The sequence below is a fragment of the Homo sapiens genome, chromosome 4 (assembly GCF_000001405.40).
Source record: "Homo sapiens chromosome 4, GRCh38.p14 Primary Assembly".
Lineage (NCBI taxonomy): Eukaryota > Metazoa > Chordata > Mammalia > Primates > Hominidae > Homo > Homo sapiens.
Window position 1 is genome coordinate 15648502 of NC_000004.12, and position 17981 is coordinate 15666482.

Below are 17981 nucleotides of genomic sequence, written 5' to 3' on the forward strand. Positions count from 1 at the left end.
GTAAAGAAAATGTGATATATACAATAAAATATTATTCAGTCATAAAAAAGGAAATCCTGTCATTTGCAACAACATAGATGAACCTGGAAGACAGCTAAGTGAAATAAGCCAGAGACAGAGAGATAAATAATGTATGATCTCACTATATATGGAATCTAAAGTAGAACTCACAGAAGCAGAGAATATGAAAGGTGGTTGTTGGGGCAGGGGATGGAGAAAATGGGGAGATGCTGAAAAAAGAACACTAACTTTCAGTTCTAAGATGAGTACGTTCTGGGGATATAAGGTACAGTATGGTGACTATAGCTAATAATACTGTATTATGTACTTGAAATTTGCTGAGAGTACATCCTCTGTGTCTTTACCACTCCCACACAAAGGGTAATCGTTTGTGGTGATGGATGTGTCAATTTGATTTTGGTAATCATTATACAATGTACATGTATATCAAAGCATTGCATTGTACACCTTGAATATATACAATATTTATTTGTCAATTATACCTCAATAAAGCTGGGAAAAAATGATCAACAGATCAACAGATCAAGTTAAATTCTTGGTGGAGAATACAAAATATTTTGTACAACAGGTTGAAGAAATAAGATTTTTATCTATATTAAATCCTCAACATGTTTGTTGATTTGATGAAGTGAAAACAAAGCCAAAAAAAAAAGAGCAACAGAGAGAAAAGTCCTTAAAGATACTACCCAACTCAGTTTTTCTCCACATGAAAAGTGCAAACATTTTTAACCCGGTACCTAAAGTTAGTAAATTTAGCAGTTAAAAGAATAACCAGGGCCGGGCACAGTGGTTCACGCCTGTAATCCCAGCACTTTGGGAGGCCGAGGCAGGCGGATCACAAGGTTAAGAGATCTAGGCCAACATGGTGAAACCCCATCTCTGCTAACCTCTACTAAAACTACAAAAATTAGTTGGGCGTGGTTAGCACACGCCTGTAGACCCAGCTACTCAGGAGGCTGAGGCAGAAGAATTGCTTGAACCCGGGAGGCAGAGGTTGCAGTGAGCCAAGATCACACCACTGCACTCCAGCCTGGAGACAGGGCAAGACTACGTCTCAAAAAAAAAAAAAAAAAAAGAAAGAAAGAAAAGAATAAACAGAATATACACAATTTAACTTTTTTGAAATCTGTTTATATAAATAGTTTTTAAAATTGTTTGCCTTCACATATAGACTTTATGGAGAAAAAAAACCTGGACACTAATGGTTCTAGGACATACGGAAGGAAGCCAATGATGTGTGAGAAATTACCCTAGTGTTTTTATATATTTAATTCTTAAAACAACCTAAAAAGTAGATATCAAAATCCTCATTTTACAGACTAACAAACAGAGTCTCAGGAAGAAAATTTACCCCACATCATACAACTAGTGAACAACAAAACCGAGACCAAGTCCCTAAAACTCTAACATCTATGACTTTTCTACATACACAATGTTAGTCCCATTAATAAAGCTATCTTTTCAGATACAAGAGAGTAAATTGTCAGAAAGAACACTTGCTCTAAAGCAACAGCTCTCACCAAGGCAGTAATTTTGCCACCCCACTACCCATCCCCCAGAGATAAAAGGCAAGATCTGGAGGCAGTTTTGGTTGTCACCACCGGAAATGTACTACTGACACCTAGTGGATAAAACCCAGGGATGTGGCTAAACATCCTACAACGCACAGGACAGCCCCCATAAAAAAGAAATCATCTGCCTCAAAATGTCAATAATGCTTTGGTTAAGAAATGTTGCTCTAGAAAACTGTTTTTCAAATACTGTTAACCATGACCTTCAGTATGAAATATAGTGCAATCCAGATTCACACGCATCACAAACACTTCAAACAAATTTCAGGGAACAGTATTTCCCTCTCTTATCTGTGATGTACTCTAGTATTTACTTTTCGGTTTAAATTTTTAATGCTGTTTCGGACCCACAAAAGAGATTTATGACCTACTACTAATAGGTCACAGGACACATTTTGAAGAGCACTCTTCTACAGTAAAATATAAAGGTTCCTAGTGACCTATAAAGTTATATACTCTGATGCCTCACAAATTCAACAAAGAACTTATATATATAAAAGGACGCACATAATTAACAAATAGTAACATGATATCTTCCACATTTTAAAAGGATTTATAACTGACTTTCTTTTTTTTTTTTTTTTTTTTTTTTGAGACAGAGTCTCACTCTGTCGCCCAGGCTGGAGTGCAATCGCCAATTCCAGCAATTCTGCCTTAGCCTCCTGAGTAGCTGGGATTACAGGACCCCGCCACCATGCCCAGCTAATTTTTGTATTTTTAGTAGAGATGAGGTTTCACCATCTTGGCCAGGCTGGTCTTGAACTCCTGACCTCATGATCCACCTGCCTCGGCCTCCCAAAGTGCTGGGATACAGGCATGAGCCACTGCACCCAACCTATAACTGACTTTCTGTCTCAGACATTCTACAGTGATAAATCAAGTATTACAGCCTGGTTTCAAACTGATTCTCAAAAGTGGTATGTCACTTAAAGACGATACAGTACATTCAAAAATAGATAAGAAAACGGCATAACAAAAACACATATATTATTCCCCCAAATACATTTTTACTTTGTCTACTCACTCAGACAATGCTTTAATTTAATCAAGGGAGACTTATACTCAGTGAAGAAACCTTAGTAAGTAGCTGATCAAATTTACAGATGGAAAAAATGATGACCCACAGGTAAACTGTTTTGCATAAAATCATAGAGCTACCAATAAGTAGCAGAACTAGTAAGGTAATGCAAAACCCATGGGCTTCCGAAGGGGAAAAAAAATCCTAAGATTAAAATTCAGGCTCTACTAATTACTAATTGAATGAGTTGGGTAAGTTACTTAACCACTAAGACTGTTTCCTCAACTTTAAATGAAGGATAATATTTGGCTTAAGTAGTTCGTGAAGATTAAAAGAAACAATGTAGACATGTAGTAAGAACTCATTAAATTCCCTTTTCCTTCTTCCACAGGTCTCAATTCAATATTTTCTCCACTAAGCCAATCTTCTCAAATGCCAGTCAATAAATTGTTACAGGTATGCAGAAAAATGGCGGAGGGGGGAAGGAAAACTGACAATAAAGCTATACTCACTCATTTTTTAAAAAAGGATATATTCAAATTACTCTAAGCTTCTTCCCACTTAAGAGTTTTGGGTCATAAAATGTCCTATCTGTATAAATAAATGTATAAATAAATTCTTTCATAAAAGTAAACAGCACTTTTAATACCCTTACCTGAAAAATTTGGGCACACCTTAAGGCCTCCACCACTTGAGTTTTTAATAACTGGTTTATATATAAGCCTGGGAATCTCTGAACTAACCACATCCTGACAACCACAGCCTACTCTTCTCTCAGAAATCAATTCAAAGAGACCACTCCTGACACTTTAATGTGGAGCTGACCGTGTAACTCCCTTTGCTCCCACTATACCCTATTTGGATTTCCATCCTAGCATAGATGTTATTACATACTGGACTGTAAACTTTTTGAGACTAGAGACCACATGTCACATTGCCAACGTCTTTCTGTAGTACAAGCTACTACAGAGTAGACGGTAGAAACTCCAATGCTCACTGACAGAATTAATGGAGTTAACCTTGGAGAACTGGAGAAAAGACTGAGAAATTGAAGTAAAATGGAAAAAGGATGTCATTCAATATAAATATTTACTAACATCATCCCAGTCTGAAAGGTCAGTGAATTAGCAGGAGATTTCTTAGCAGATTGTTCCCAAAAAAGTAAGAAACTACTATGATTTAATATAAAGAAAATTAAACTAGGAATCCTAACAATGACTTGGGTTTCCATCTGAATCTACCACTAGCTGCTTATGTAACCTTGGCCTAGCTAATCTAGGCCTCTAAGTCCCCAGCTATAAAACAGAAATACCTTGTCTTTACATAACTCAAAGCACTGTTGTCTGGATAACAAAGGTGAAAAACCTTTCCATAAAACTTTTTACAGATGTAAAAAGAAATCCATGGGCAAAGTATTAAATCGGGTATTGTACAGCAATATTTAAAATGGTCTAAGACATACATCTGTCAGCTTTTGAAAATTTATTTTCTCATCCTATTCACCTTTATACCTAAAAAATAAGTAGACTAACATAACTTTGGAATACATTATACTAACTGGCTTAAGCATATAAGTGGTTTACTTGATGCTAGTAAATAAATGGATGCTTCTAAAATACATTCTACTTGAGAAGTTCAATATTGAAAATAGTAACTGACTTCTTGATAATAACTGGGCATTCAGAGCCCAAATTTGTACAGTGAAATAACTATTTTGTACCTTTTTAGTCTGAGCATAAAAACTAGTTCTCATTTTATATAGTTTTATTGTAAACTGTTTGGTTGGATATCCTTGGTCTATACAACCAAAGGATGGCAAAACGTGAGATGATAAATGGATAAAAACAAACAAGGTACTCTTCCTTTAATTCCTTTAAGATTACTGAACCATTACAAAATACTTATTTTCCACTCTAGCTCCCAAAGGACATCCTAAGAGAGATTTCCATTGGCTATCAGTATCAAGAAGAAATCCAGATGTAAAATTCCTATGCATTTTTTTTTCCCTAAATCGCCTCAGTTTCAGTTCAGAAAATTGGACTTTTAATCTTCGTGATAAACGTATACAACAATCTCATTAACTATATCTAATTAATTCAGAATTAGTAATAATTTTGACTTACACCATGTCAAATTGAAAATGCTTTATTAAACTAGTTATGCAAGTGGGAACATTACTGAAAAGACTCTTGGCTCAGATATCTTGTAAAAAAGCAACTGCATTTTCAAAATTTGTTCAAATACTCTCAACCACCAGGAAGAGACAGAAAAAGAGCGACTAACTTCTTGAAAATTTTAAAATAAGGCTGCTTAGCCTTAGTCTGCAAGTAAATTAAATTGTGATTCTTTATTTTGGGAGGTCACAATCATCTGGAAATCGATGAAAGCTACAAACACCCTAGGAAAATGGACACACGCACAAAATTTTCCATATAATTTCAGGTGATCCTAGGCTACCTCTCCACAGTCTAAAGTGGAGAGAAAACCTTGGATTCTGTTAGTCTTCACTTCCACTTTCGATTTTTGAGACCATTTTTTTTTTCTTTCCTGCTATTAAAGAATGGTGTCTGAATGAACGATATTCAAAAGCCAGAGAGGATAAAAACACTATAATACTGCTAAGTAAAAAATTCAGGGATATACCCTCTTGCTTAATGGCTTAACCATTCCTCATGCTTCTCCTAGATGAGTGGTTCTCACCCTCAGCTGCATACTGCACTCAAATGGAGAGCTTTAATCATTTATACCTGATGTCTGGGTGAAATCCTAATTTTAGTGACCTAGACATCAGGACTTCTAATAGTTTTTAGTTTAAGGCTAATAAGCAACCAAGGTTGCAAACCATTGTCCTAGACAGTCCTGGTGTTTCCAACTCATGTGAACTGGGTGTTTCTAAATTTTCAGAATGGAGGGAGGGAGAAGATGGAGTGCTAAGATTTGAAATTCAACGTCACTGCTTTAAATTGCTGGTCTTGAGTGTGGCCTAACAGTGAATACCCTGGGCATCCTCCAATCGCCTGGCTGAGCTATGAAACACCCCTCTTTTCTGTAGACAATGGTTCTGCATAATGCTATGCAATTTCTGAGAATTCCTAAAAGTTGATTTCTATGCTTAAACAGTAGTCATTTGAATGCTTTATTTAGTTGGATCATTTCCACAAGAAACGGGACTGCCTGAGGTTTGCAGATATCCATGACTTTCCCCAACATAAACTGACAAATACGTGGAATGTTAATATTGTTTTAAAATCACTAGCAAAGGGCCCTGAACCATCTCCACAAAAGTGCCTCTTCAGCTTATGCTGCACCAATTATGGGCCCAAAATGGTTCTCACAGTTAAACCAACTTTTCCTGAGGCCCCCTTTATTCGAGCTCATATAAAGAAATCCAAGAGAGAATTGCTGTCTTATAACAAAATCTACATCCAGTAAGTGTTCAGGGCAATAAAAGTTGCAAGGAAAACGATAACGACACATGAAGAGTGAAGGTTCTTCAGTTCTAAACTTGGCTTTTCTCCCAAATCAAACCAGTGAAGAAAGCCGGGGGTAAAAGGAACCGGGTAGCTGGGAGACGCTGCAGTTCCAGCCAGGAAGCCAGCGAGAGGTGCAGAGGATGGGTGGGTGTCTGCACGGAGAGCCCCGAACAGGCCCGGGGGAGTGACGGGGGACGGGAACAACTACTCGGTGCAGATGGGAGTCCACCGCAGGTGGCCGGCCGGGGCACCCAGGGCTTCGAGGAGGTAGGGCCGCTCTCCTTAGAGGCAGCAGCGGGAGTCCCAGCGCGGCGGTGGGGCCGGCCCGAGGGCGGCCAGTGACGCCGGTAGCGCCCCTCCTCAGCCGCCAGGCCCTCGGCAGGGGACGCCGCCCGCCCCGAGAGCACGTCCGAGGCGGCGGCCAGGCCGGCTCTGCGAAGGCCTCGCAGCGGGCGGGCAGGCTGCGGGAGCGGGCGGCGCTGACAGCTGCGCAGGCGGCTACTCGCGCGGCGACGGCACGGGGCTGCGGGCGCGGCGCAGGCCAGGCCGCCCCAAGAACCCAGCCCGCTCCCCATCGCCGCCCGCACCGCCCACAGCGGGAGGCTCAGCGCTCCGTTACCTTGTCGCAGTAGAGCCCCACCAGCTGCTTCATCCGCCAGTGTGGGGCGGTGAAGACGTCCACTTCTTCAGGAAAGGGCGCCATCGCCACTGCCTCAGCCTCCGCCTCAGCAGCCGCGGCCGCCGCCTCTCCATAGACACCCTCGCCGCGGGGCAGAGGCGGCGCGCCCCCTTGCGCATGCGCCCGCCCCGTCGGCGCGCGCGCCCGGTCGGCTTGGCCGGCGGGGACGCGGGGGCGCGCAGGCCGCCGCCATGCGATCCCTGCGGCCCACGTGACCGGGCGCGCGCAGAGGCTCGCGGCTTCTGCCTCCCGCCCCCACTCTTTTCGTTTTTTGTCGTCTTCATAAGCCGCAGAAGGAACCCAAACCTTTTCCCTGTTTCTTTCACTACATGAAAGCACAGTAGCTGAGGGTAGGGGAAAGTCGTTGCAGTGGCGCTCTCGGCGCTTCTCCCGTTGCTGCCCTGCCCACCACGGCCTTGAGGAGAGGCAGCCAAGCACAATGGCCGCGGTCAGGGCCGCGAGCTCTGCTTGTGCCCACGCCCCGACGCCTGCTTGGCCTGGGTGACCAATGCTTCTGGCCAGGACCTCCGGAGCTGCCCTTCGCCTCCCTGCGATTGGCCCGTGCCAGATTTTTCCTGGGGCCGAGCGCAGACCACCCCGGCCGCCACTCAAAGGCCGGGCCTGGCTCCCACCCAGCGGTTGGTGAACCAGAGCTGCGGGCTCTGAGAGCTTCGGTCCCGGGCGGCAGCCCACAGCGGGCGCGGGGCCTGGGTGCGAGGGGCGGGGCAGAGACCGCGAGAGAGAGTTCTCGTGAAATTCGGGAGACTCAACGTGGGGGAAAAACAGTATCTGGGGATCCAGGTGCGGAAATGCACCTCAAGTGCAGGAACGCGGGTCAGGGATAGGCCCGACGGGCCTTGGGGGTGGGGAGAAGGGTGAATAATGGAAGGTTGGTGCGGGAAAGAACCTTGGTACAAATCCCGCCATTTTAAGCGGAGGTTCGGAGAGAAAACAAGGTCACTAACCCAGGAAAATGTCTGCCTCTTTCCCATAAATCGCCTGGCCCTGGCCACAGACCTCCTGGAGACTCTGTTCTCTGCTCACGCCGGTCAGTCTTAGATTGGTTGGCTGGAGTACTGCTGGACAGATAGAGAAATAGGAGAAAACAGGGAAGCCTGAGAACCTTGGGAGGAATTGTTATTTGCTTAATGGCCAGAACCTCCAGGAGGGCAAGAACCAGATATGCTGTGTTCACCCTTGTTCTCTATTATCTATCACAGTTGCAAGACAACATGGGGATCAGTAAATAGTCAACAAATAATGGAGTAGAAGAAGGTGAGAAAGAACTTTGCAGTGGAATGCACCCTATTTAGTTCTAATCTTATATTACTATATGCTATTATAGACAGTGTGAACAGTGGTTAAACCACAGACTCTGGAAGTTAAGATTCCTGGTTTTGCCAGACACTAGCTATACAACCGTTAACAAGCTATATGACTTCTTTATGCCTCAGTTTGCTCTGACATGAAATGAAGCTAATAATACCTACCTCAGAATCTTTATGAGGATTTATATATTTGAAGCACTTATAACAGTACCGTCTGTAAGCTAGTAATACTTTTTTAAAGCAACTCTATGAGGTAGTGCTGCAGGAAATTAAGTCTTCAAGACATTCTAGTAGTTGCCTAGGGTCCCACAAATTAGTAAGTCAAAAATCTGTCATATAAATCTGGATCTGACAGTACCCCCAGAGTCATTGCATTAGTTGGGATACAGAGATGGCTTATTCACAGTCTGTCTTAAGAAGCAGGAATAAGGCTTAAGAAATAGAATAATAATAAAATATTTGATAAAGATTAATTTCTCTCTTCCTCCTTCTCCCTTTCACCCCGTTTCTCGTTCTTTTGCCAGGACTTTGCCTCTATATTTTTTAATAACCTCCAGAGAGCATTTTCTTATTTACCCTCTATTTCTTTACCTCATACTAATCTTTCACTCCAGCTATCTTGGAATGCAGAATCAGACCTCAGGTGAACCAGTTATATAGAGAAATGAGCTCCATGAGAACATGCACTTTGTTTTATCCTCAGCACTTAGAATGATGTCTGTCATAAAGTGAGTATTCAGTAAATATGTTGGAAAAAAGAATGAGGGTAGTTCATAGCACTGTGTAATTTCCTCATTTTTACTAATGTTTAATATGCTATGTTGTCTTGTCCAATCAACTGTTTGTGTCTGTGCTGTTCACTAGTGTATCCATCTGTAGAACCAGACACATTAAAAAGGTATTTGGCAACAACAACAAAAAAAGTCCATCCACACAGTTTCACTGTAACCCAGATTTGAAGCTCTATAATCAGCTGAAAAGTAGTAACAGCCACTTTGGACACTGGCCATTTCAAGGAATTTGTTTTAGATGACAAAATGAAAGAAAGTGATTTTAAAAATAATCCCTGTGAGTAATTTTTCCCATGGAAAGCTATTAACATTAGCTCCATATGCTGAATTATGTAGCAATTAATCACCTGATATATCCAAAATAAATGACTGACTTTACTGAACTTTAGCTCTAAAGAGGTCATTGATCAGTGTAGTATCATTACCATAGGTTACTGCAACTACAGCAGATTTGGGAGGGTTATTAAGACCAAGGTTGTCACTTTACCTCTCTGTGAGACCTTTTTGGATGTATGACAGCAGATAATTCCAACAGACCATCTAGCAATTGACCACCACAAGAAGTCTGAATAAGGCATGTGAACAGAGCAGTGAAAACCCACATTGTAGAATAACTGGTAGAATTGGTCGTTTCTCTTACCTACTCTCATTCTCTCTCTGGCAACCTAAAAATATAACTTATTCTGTTATCAATAGGCCTCTTCTATAGTAGTTTCCAAGCCTAATTTTGAGAACCCTGGAAAGGGTTATTGGCCAGGGAGGGTCAATTCTAAGGCATTTCACTCCGTTTGAGTATGTGACACAGCACTTTCCCTAATAGGGGATTAGTTGTGAAAACAAGCAATGAAAGAATGTTTACGTTTTGACCCAGTTGGAATCATAGTCCTCACTCAGTACCAGAGTTGATCCTTACTGTCCATCAAAATAGTCAATCAACAACTGCTGCAGCAGGCTGATTTAGGAATTGCTGTGGTTTGAATGTTTGTCCTTTCTAAAACTCATGCTGAAACTTAATCCCCAATAAGGCAGTATTAAGAAGTGGGGCCTTTAAGAGGTGATTGGGTCATGAAAGTTCTGCCCTCATGAATGGCTTAATTCATTCATGGATTAAAGGATTCATGGGTTATCATAGGAGTGGGACTGGTGGCTTTACAAGAGGAAGAAAGACCTGTGCCAGCATGCTGAGTCCCTCGCCATGTGATGTCCTGCACTGCCTTGGGACTCTGCAGAGTCGCCACCAGAAAAAAGGCCCTCATCAGATGCAGCCCCTTGACCATAGACTTCTCAGCCCCACACTGTAAGAAATAAATTCTTTTTCTTTATAAATTACCCAGTTTCAGGTATTCTGTTATAAGCAATAGAAAACAGACTAAGACAGGCACATACAGGATGATGTCTTAATCTACTTTCTCGATAGCCACAGAGGGCTTTCTGGTAGAAGTGGCCCTTAAGTTCAGCATTAAATATTAAGAAAAATTATCCATCTGGGACTCCAGAGACTTAATTTTTTCATATTCAGCGTTAAACTGGACACCCAATATGCAGCAGGAGCTTGAGATATAAAGTTGAATAAATCCTGATTACTGTTCTTGGAATTTCCCAGCTTTTAAACTCAGTTTCATACTATCCACCCCATCCTTAATCAGCTGCAGTGATCAATGTTTCTTCCTCATTAATTTCAGTCCCTCCTGTGCTTTAACTAAATAATATATTTAATGACAAAAAATCAGAAGAATGTCATAAATGGAAGGGTACCCAGTAAAATAATTAATTTCTTAGCAGTTTTAAGTACCTGACATTATGTAATAATGTTTATCTACATTCCCTGAACAAGTAGTAGGCATACATAGTAGGCATAAAATATTTCTTGCTGCATGAATGAGAATTTGAAAAGTTTTTACAAACCAAAATACTCCTGTTATTCAGTAATATACATATATGGTTTTTAAGAAAAACTAATCCAAACAAGCTATATTTAAAGTCCTAATTTCAACAATTGTTACCCTCCTTTAAAGGGTTCTCATTTTGACCTCATAAGCAAAAATTGATTCCTAAACTGGGTACTGGGTAAGATTCAGTTCTGGGAATCTCTTTACTCAGATTTCTAATTCCTTCTACCAGGAGAATGTGAGCTGCACCGCAAACTACGTTAACTGTCCAAATATAGAGTAGTCCCATTCCTTAGATCTCCTTTTGAAGAGAAGTTTAGATAATACTAAAATCATAGTCTCTTTCATTTTAAATCTGGAGATATAATGTGTATAGTGGTCCATAAAGTTTCCTTGCAAAATTTTCAGACAGAGAAGAGCCTTCCATTTCCCAAATATACCTTTATGTCACCTACCTTGCGTCATTTACCTCTTAGTAAATATTGCCAAGTGAACACCAAAATCTTGATTTTCAACCAGAGGCTCTATTATGGGCTGACTTGTAGGGAGAAAGAATGGTTCCATGTGTATGGCCTGAGGGAAAGGTGGCTACTCTCAGGGACAACTTGACTCAGCTGTTTGCACCATGTAGTGAGAAAGTATCACAAGTTTCTGGAATGGAAAGAAATGATAAGTTCCTGTAAAGTGTCAGAGTTACATTCATTGTAGTGATGAAATCTGGCAGGCAGTTGCTTAATCCCTGCCTACAGAGAGGGGAAAAAAAAGTATTAGGAAAGTATCAGTTCTGTTTCCTTCCTCCCTACCCCTGACATTTTTTTTTTTTTTTAAAGAGGGTTTCACTCTGTCACCCAGGCTGGAGTGCAGTGGCACAAACATAGCTTACTGCAGCCTCAAACTCCTAGGCTCAAATGATCCTCCTTTCTCAGCTGCAGAATAGCTAAGACTACAGGCCCGTGCCACCACACCAGGCTAATTTTTTATTTTTATTTTTTGTAGAGGTGCAGTCTCATGATGTTGCCTAGGCTGATCTTGAACTCCTAGCTTCAAGCAATCCTCCCACATGGCCTCCCAAAGCACTGGGATTACAGGCATGAGCCGCCGCACCCAGCCCCGACATTGTTTTAAAAACTCAAAACAGAGTACCAAAAAATCCCCAATTACACAAGACACCTCCTAAAAAATTTAAATGCTGAGAGCTACCTAGAAATAGAGATGTCATGTATACATCTTATTTGTGTTCACTGACCAATAGCCTGGCTAATACACGAAACATTGATTTGAATTCTAATCCCACTTCTCACTACCTACCTACCCACAAGATCTAGGGCAAATCACTTGGCCATTCTGGAGCCTTCATTTCCTCGACTGTAAAGACTTGGTCTGGGACACTTTTGAGTGATAAAAGGTGCTAGATTATTAATACATATTAATTAATCTACAACATGTGTAAAAAGGACTCTCCCAGGCTGACTTGTTAAGGGAAATCTGTCACCAGTCATCCAGATAAGTCAGTCTAGAGTTAGGTGGCCCAGCACGGTGGCTCACGCCTGTAATCCCAACACTGGGAGGCCGAGGTGGGCGGATCACTTCAGGTCAGGAGTTTGAAACCAACCTGGGCAACATGGCGAAACTCCATCTCTACTAAAAATACAAAAATTAGCCGGGCATGGTGGCACACGCCTGTAGTACCAGCTACTGGAAAGGCTGAGGCAGGAGAATCACTTAAACCTGAGAGAAGGAGGTTGCAGTGAGCCTAGTTTGAGCCACTGCACTCCAGCCTGGGTGACAGAGCAAGGCTCCATTTCAAAAAAAAAAAAAAGTTAGGTAACCTTTAACGAATCATTATTTTATTTGTGTAACCAATTTAACTGTGATTAGTTCCATTCACTTTCCCTAAAATGTCTCTACCAAGGTGATTCTTTGGACTACTATAGGTGTTTCCCCTGTGTGCAAGGTTGTAACAAAACTTTGGCATGTGCTTGTAATTGCACTGTTTTAAAAGTGTTCTTTTACAGTGAAGAGACAGTAAAGCAAAATGGGTTGGAGTGTGGAACCAGTATTCTCATCTGTAAAGGGATAGTGAGTCTCCAGAGTATCCTGAGAACTAAGTGTTTTATGGAATTTAGCAGAGCCTGGCATGGGAAGCACTAAATGTTAGCTATTTTACCTGTAAAATGAGCAGATTGGTCATGATGTTCTCTTTGGTCTCTGCCAATTTTCAGTGTTTGGGAACCTTAGGAATAGTATTTCAAAGCTGTTTCTTTAGGTTAATTCTACAAATTAACTGGAGAAGGGACTTGTCACATTTAGTTGTAAGTGACAGAAAATAGAAAATAACAGTGCCTTAAGCAAGATGGGGTCTTTTTTTTCTCTTTTTCTCATGTATTAGTTATCTGTTGTTGCTTAAGATTAACCCAAAACTTGAATGGCTTAAGCACCCTTTAAAACTTAAATGGCTTTATTATTTCAGTTTTTAAGGATCAGGAATTACAGAGTGGCTTATGGGGTGGTTCTAGATCAGGTTTTCTCATGTGGCTGCAGTCAGATTGGCAGCTAAAGCTGCGATCATCCGATGACATAACCTAGGACTGAAGGATCTGCTTTCAGGTTCTCTCAGGTGGCTGTTGAGAGGCCTCACATCCTCATAGGCTGTTAGAATAAGGACCTCAGGTCCTCACCACATGGTACTCTCTATGGAGTTACTTATAATATGGTAGCTTGCTTTCCTCAAGGTGAGGGCCAATAAAGAGAGAGAGCAAATGATTTCAAACCCAAAATAAGTCAGTCTTTTATAACATAATCTCAGAAGAGACATCCCATCACTCATGCCTATGCTACTGGTCATACAGAACAACCCCAGTACAGTGTGGGAGGGGATTGCTTACACAATGGTGTACCTAATAAACGAAGGGATTAATTGAGGGCCATCTTTGAAGCTGGCTAAACGTGGTCCAGAACTGGTTTGACAGCTCTACTTTATTTAGGGGCATAGGCTCCTTCCACGGCTCTACCAACTCTAGAGGGTAGTCTTCATATTTAAGTTCAAAGGTGGTGGCACTTGTGTGACCCAGGGCAAATCATCTATTCTGAGTTTCTAGGTCCTCACTTAATAAACTATGAAAAAGAGTAAAATATACTTCATAGTGTTGTTGTAAAGATTAACGGAATAAGTGTAATAGGCTTTCACAGTACCTGGCATATTAAGCATTCAATACTATCTTTTAATATTGCTATATACATTAAATAATGAGACTATCCCAAGAGATCATCAGATATGCATTGTTCCTTGAAAAGGTCAAGCTTAGAAATCACTGGTAATAAAAAAGCTCTACTTGGATAATTCAAGTGAGCCTCTCGTCACCATTCCCAGCCCAGAAATGGTGAAGGATAAAAATTGTTTTTTTCAATATCATTCTAGAGGTAGTTAAAATTGAATCAATCCATTCAATCCATTATCTTTATGTAATCTACTCCTAGGTAGCTGATACTATAGTAAGATGTAATTTTTTTTTGTCTTTGCAAAGGTGTTCTTGTTGCTGACAAGGAACAGCAGAATAGTGAACAAGTTTGTGGCTAAACATTATTCCCAGATTTTAAAAAATGTTCAGTGTGCACAATTGTTACTACCAGATCTTTGTCAGAATAATCTTTCTGTCACTGAATAACTGACCCATAAAACAATAGAGCATATTGACCTAGTGTGCAGGGTAAGCAATGAGTAAATAAGAAATGGTTGTAAAATATTTACCAAATGTAACTTTCTAATTTGGGTAGCTTTAAGATGGGTCAAAATAAAAGGAATGCTATTATTTGTGAAGAATTACAAGTTTACATATGTTTATTCTTGCCAGTCTTTTACTGAAAATTCCTAGAAATGATATCCTTTCCTTTATATATACCATAATATTTGTATGATATTCCTCTCCAAAGATAGGGGTAATATTATACATTGATAATAGTCATTCATTATTGAAAAACTAACAATACACTAAGTACTCCACTGCATGGGACATAGTAGCCATTCAATAAATGATAGGTATCTTTATTATTAGACACCTAACACTGTATGAAATAGGATACCATAATAGACTCTAGTCTCAGTATCTCTATTAAGATATTAGGGGCCAGAGGTTTCAAAATGGTTTGACCTGTTGTAGTGGTTCATTCAGCACACTGGAGTTGGACTGATTGTCTGGGTTCAAATCTCAGCTGGTCCACTTTCTTACTTACTACCAGCAGGGTAAAACAGAACCTCTTTTGCCTTCTGGGAATGAGGACTTTGCTACTACCGTTAAGCCACAAAACTGTTCACTATTCTGCTCACTCATCTGTGAAATGGAAATACTACTACCTATTCTAGTGGACTGTGGTGGAGATTAAATGAGATTATATAGTCAAAGAGCTCACAACAGTACCTGTCACATAATTTTTTTTTAAAGAAAAATCTGCTTATTTCTGTCACTACTCAACAAACACTAGGTGACTATCATTTGCCAGAAGCTACAGATTCAGTAAGTCCAAAAGTGAACTCACCATTTTCTGTCCTCTGAGTTTGCCAAGGTTTCTGTATTCTCATCTCATTTTCATCACTGTTCATTGACTTACCCTGGCTAATATAATGACAGCAAACAAACCTGAGTGCAAGTCACCAATCTAAAGACTTTTTGGTTTTAGAGTATTTATATTCACAGAATGACTGCATGAATTGTAGGCACTCTTATCCTGATTTTTCAGATGAAAAACTTAAAGAAGCTACATAATTTGCCCAAGACTACCCCATTAAGAAATAGCAGAGCCAAGATTCAAACTTAGGCAGTCTGGCTTCAGAGCTTCTATCTTTTTAGGTAACACACAATACTGCTTCTAGAGATTTTGGAGTTATCTTAAAAGCTTTCATTTTTCCATCACTCAGTATCTTAATAAGACACATAGTCCTCTCAAACATCTCTAATTCATCCCTTCTCTGCTTACACTAATACAGACCTAGTATGGGCCCTACTTACCTTCTCCTTGAACTACTGGTTTCCCTGCTTTCAGCTTCTCATTTCAATCCTTGCACCAAACCAGCTAGTCAGCAATGTTTCTAAAACAAAAAATCTAATGACTCTCCCTCAGTTAAATCATATTGGCACACTAATTCCTATTGAACAGGACCCAGGCACTCTTATGTGTCATCTGATGAGGTACCTAGTACAGTACCTCACTTATAAAGTTAAATATACTGTTTATTTTATTGACATAAACATATCTTTTTCCCCCACCAAAGTGGGCCCTCATCCTTTTTTTTTTTTTTTTTTTTTTTTGAGACGGAGTTTCACTCTTGTCACCCAGGCTGGAGTGCAATGGTACGATCTCAGCTCACTGCAACCTCTGCCTCCCGGGTTCAAGCAATTCTCCTGCCTTAGCCTCCCAAGTAGCTGGGATTACAGGCGCCTGATACCACGCCCGGCTAACTTTTGTATTTTTTAGTAGAGGCGAGGTTTCACCATGTTGGCCAGGCTAGTCTCAAACTCCTGACCTCAGGTGATCTGCCCACCTTGGCCTCCCAAAGTGCTGGGATTACAGGCATGAGCCACCACTCCTGTCCTGCTCATCTTTATATAACCCTTATTTCTGCAGTCCCCAACAGCCTACAGGTACAAATGTCACAATATCATTAATATGTGAATCTTAATGATTCATTAAGTTTAAGGTTGAAGTTTAGAACCTAAACTTCAGCAAAATCTCCCCACCCTTAATGCAAAGGGCTTCTGAATTATCAGGAATGTTTTTCATGTGCTCAGTCATAAATTCACTCCCACTACAGCTACATTGCTACCCCAGATGAAAACTGAGCCACGTGTCTCTCCCATTCTTCCTCGAAACCTCTATTTTCAGGTAGCCATTATGAGCTTAGCTGCCAATGTAGGAAAGAATGCCTTTCTTATTTGTGACATATTGTTAAAAGGGTTCCAGTGGCGGGTTGTTTCAACTCATGTGTTTACGTGAAGTAGCCGTCAACCATATTTACTTAGAGCCCCCTACCTCCCTGGGCATCAGATGCGGTGTCAGGCATCTTAGCCAAGGCAAACTTGAGGTACAGCCATACCCCTATAATCAGAATCCCTCCTTCTCTCCAACAACGGCTTATTATTAGTACAGCTCATTTCTTCTATCCTTAGGATGGTCTACCTTGCAGGAATTACCCCAACCAATTCAGTAAAACTTAATTTGGGACTACCTTACAAATTTGCGAGATGTATCTAAAATTACTTGAATGCTAAACACCCACAGCTAATATTCAAATATAACCCAAGTTTATATTTGTTTCACTCTTTCCCACTCTTCTTCCCAACTCCACTGCCTAGCCTAGAGCATTGTGCATACTAGAGCCCCGACATGTTTTTAAATATGTAATAAAAAATAAAATTCTATGCTAGTTGAGCAGAAATAACGTTTATCTGAGAAAAGAAACACAAACTTAGGATGAGAATATCTGGCCCCCAGTCCAAAATTCTTAAATTTAAGGGAAAAAAAGAACCCAGTAAAATACATGGCTCTCAACTGAGACAGATTTGGCTGTTGGTAGGAATCCGATGATTAGTGTACCTGCACCTGTTCTGACACCCTCCAAAGGAATCTGGATCACAAGTGAACTGTCCAAGACCATAAGCCACACCCTTGAGCTAATGCAAGAGGAAGCTGAATCACTTCCTTGAGGCCAAATGCATACAAACAGAATTGCCTCAATTTCCTACTGACAACCTTTTTTTAAAAAAAAAAAAATGACCATTTCCTCATCTTGTTCTTGTAATACAAACCTTTTAGGGTGACTTGGCTTTTCAGTTTAAAAATATGAATTTTGGGACTGGGCACGGTGGTTCACACCTGTACTCCAAGCACCTTGGGAGGCCAAGGCAGTAGGATCACTTGAGCCCAGGAGTTCAAAACCAGCCTAGGCAACATAAGTAGACTCCACCACCACAAAAAGTTAAAAAATTAGCCAGGTATGGTGGTGCATGCCTGTAGTCCCAGCTACTCAGGAGGCTGAGGTGGGAAGATTGCTTGAGCCCAGGATGGTCCAGCCTGCAATGAGCCATGATGGCGCCACTGCACTCCAGCCAGGGAGACAGAGCAAGACCCTGCCTAAAAAAATAAAATAAAGACACATACCACATGATCTCACATTTGTGGAATCTAAAATAAAGTTAAACTCATATAAGTAAAGAGAG

At 40.8% G+C, this 17981-nt stretch overlaps 2 protein-coding genes across 23 annotated transcripts in view, besides 7 other annotated features; one reads left to right on the top strand and one right to left on the bottom strand.

Moving 5' to 3' along the window:
- Positions 1 to 17981, bottom strand: part of FBXL5 (F-box and leucine rich repeat protein 5) — a 77189-nt gene that overhangs the window by 44121 nt on the left and 15087 nt on the right. For 5 of the 21 annotated variants that reach the window (NR_036464.2, XM_011513833.3, NM_001193535.2 and 2 more), the window contains exon 1: positions 6703 to 6856. Coding sequence is in view for 18 of the 21 variants with exons in the window: in XM_011513833.3 (XP_011512135.1) it covers positions 6703 to 6786 (84 nt within the window). In the remaining 3 variants the exon portion in view is untranslated. Of the gene's footprint in view, positions 1 to 6702; positions 6857 to 7727; positions 7842 to 11225; positions 11422 to 17981 lie in introns of those variants that run through there. The other 16 variants (XM_047450056.1, XM_047450050.1, XM_011513831.3 and 13 more) reach the window with 5 other exon arrangements.
- FAM200B (family with sequence similarity 200 member B) overlaps positions 1 to 17981 on the top strand; it is a 53657-nt gene that overhangs the window by 11711 nt on the left and 23965 nt on the right. The window contains exon 2 of one of the 2 annotated variants that reach the window (XM_047450112.1): positions 3002 to 3066. The gene's annotated coding sequence lies outside the window, so the exon portion shown is untranslated. Of the gene's footprint in view, positions 1 to 2908; positions 3067 to 17981 lie in introns of those variants that run through there. The other variant, XM_047450110.1, reaches the window with a different exon arrangement.
- Positions 157 to 256: a silencer, noted in NCBI's record as "silent region_15296". NCBI's record gives its function as "represses an Ori minimal core promoter by ATAC-STARR-seq in GM12878 lymphoblastoid cells {active_cell/tissue: GM12878}" and the evidence as "EXISTENCE:reporter gene assay evidence [ECO:0000049][PMID:35858748]".
- Positions 6291 to 6510: a silencer, noted in NCBI's record as "silent region_15297". NCBI's record gives its function as "represses an Ori minimal core promoter by ATAC-STARR-seq in GM12878 lymphoblastoid cells {active_cell/tissue: GM12878}" and the evidence as "EXISTENCE:reporter gene assay evidence [ECO:0000049][PMID:35858748]".
- Positions 6541 to 6610: a silencer, noted in NCBI's record as "silent region_15298". NCBI's record gives its function as "represses an Ori minimal core promoter by ATAC-STARR-seq in GM12878 lymphoblastoid cells {active_cell/tissue: GM12878}" and the evidence as "EXISTENCE:reporter gene assay evidence [ECO:0000049][PMID:35858748]".
- Positions 6749 to 6926: a silencer, noted in NCBI's record as "fragment chr4:15656873-15657050 (GRCh37/hg19 assembly coordinates)". NCBI's record gives its function as "represses an EF-1alpha promoter that drives an FKBP-Casp9 reporter gene in an ReSE screen in HepG2 liver carcinoma cells {active_cell/tissue: HepG2}" and the evidence as "EXISTENCE:reporter gene assay evidence [ECO:0000049][PMID:32094911]".
- Positions 6749 to 6960: a biological region, named in NCBI's record as "ReSE screen-validated silencer GRCh37_chr4:15656873-15657050".
- Positions 6851 to 6960: a silencer, noted in NCBI's record as "silent region_15299". NCBI's record gives its function as "represses an Ori minimal core promoter by ATAC-STARR-seq in GM12878 lymphoblastoid cells {active_cell/tissue: GM12878}" and the evidence as "EXISTENCE:reporter gene assay evidence [ECO:0000049][PMID:35858748]".
- Positions 7261 to 7380: an enhancer, noted in NCBI's record as "active region_21340". NCBI's record gives its function as "activates an Ori minimal core promoter by ATAC-STARR-seq in GM12878 lymphoblastoid cells {active_cell/tissue: GM12878}" and the evidence as "EXISTENCE:reporter gene assay evidence [ECO:0000049][PMID:35858748]".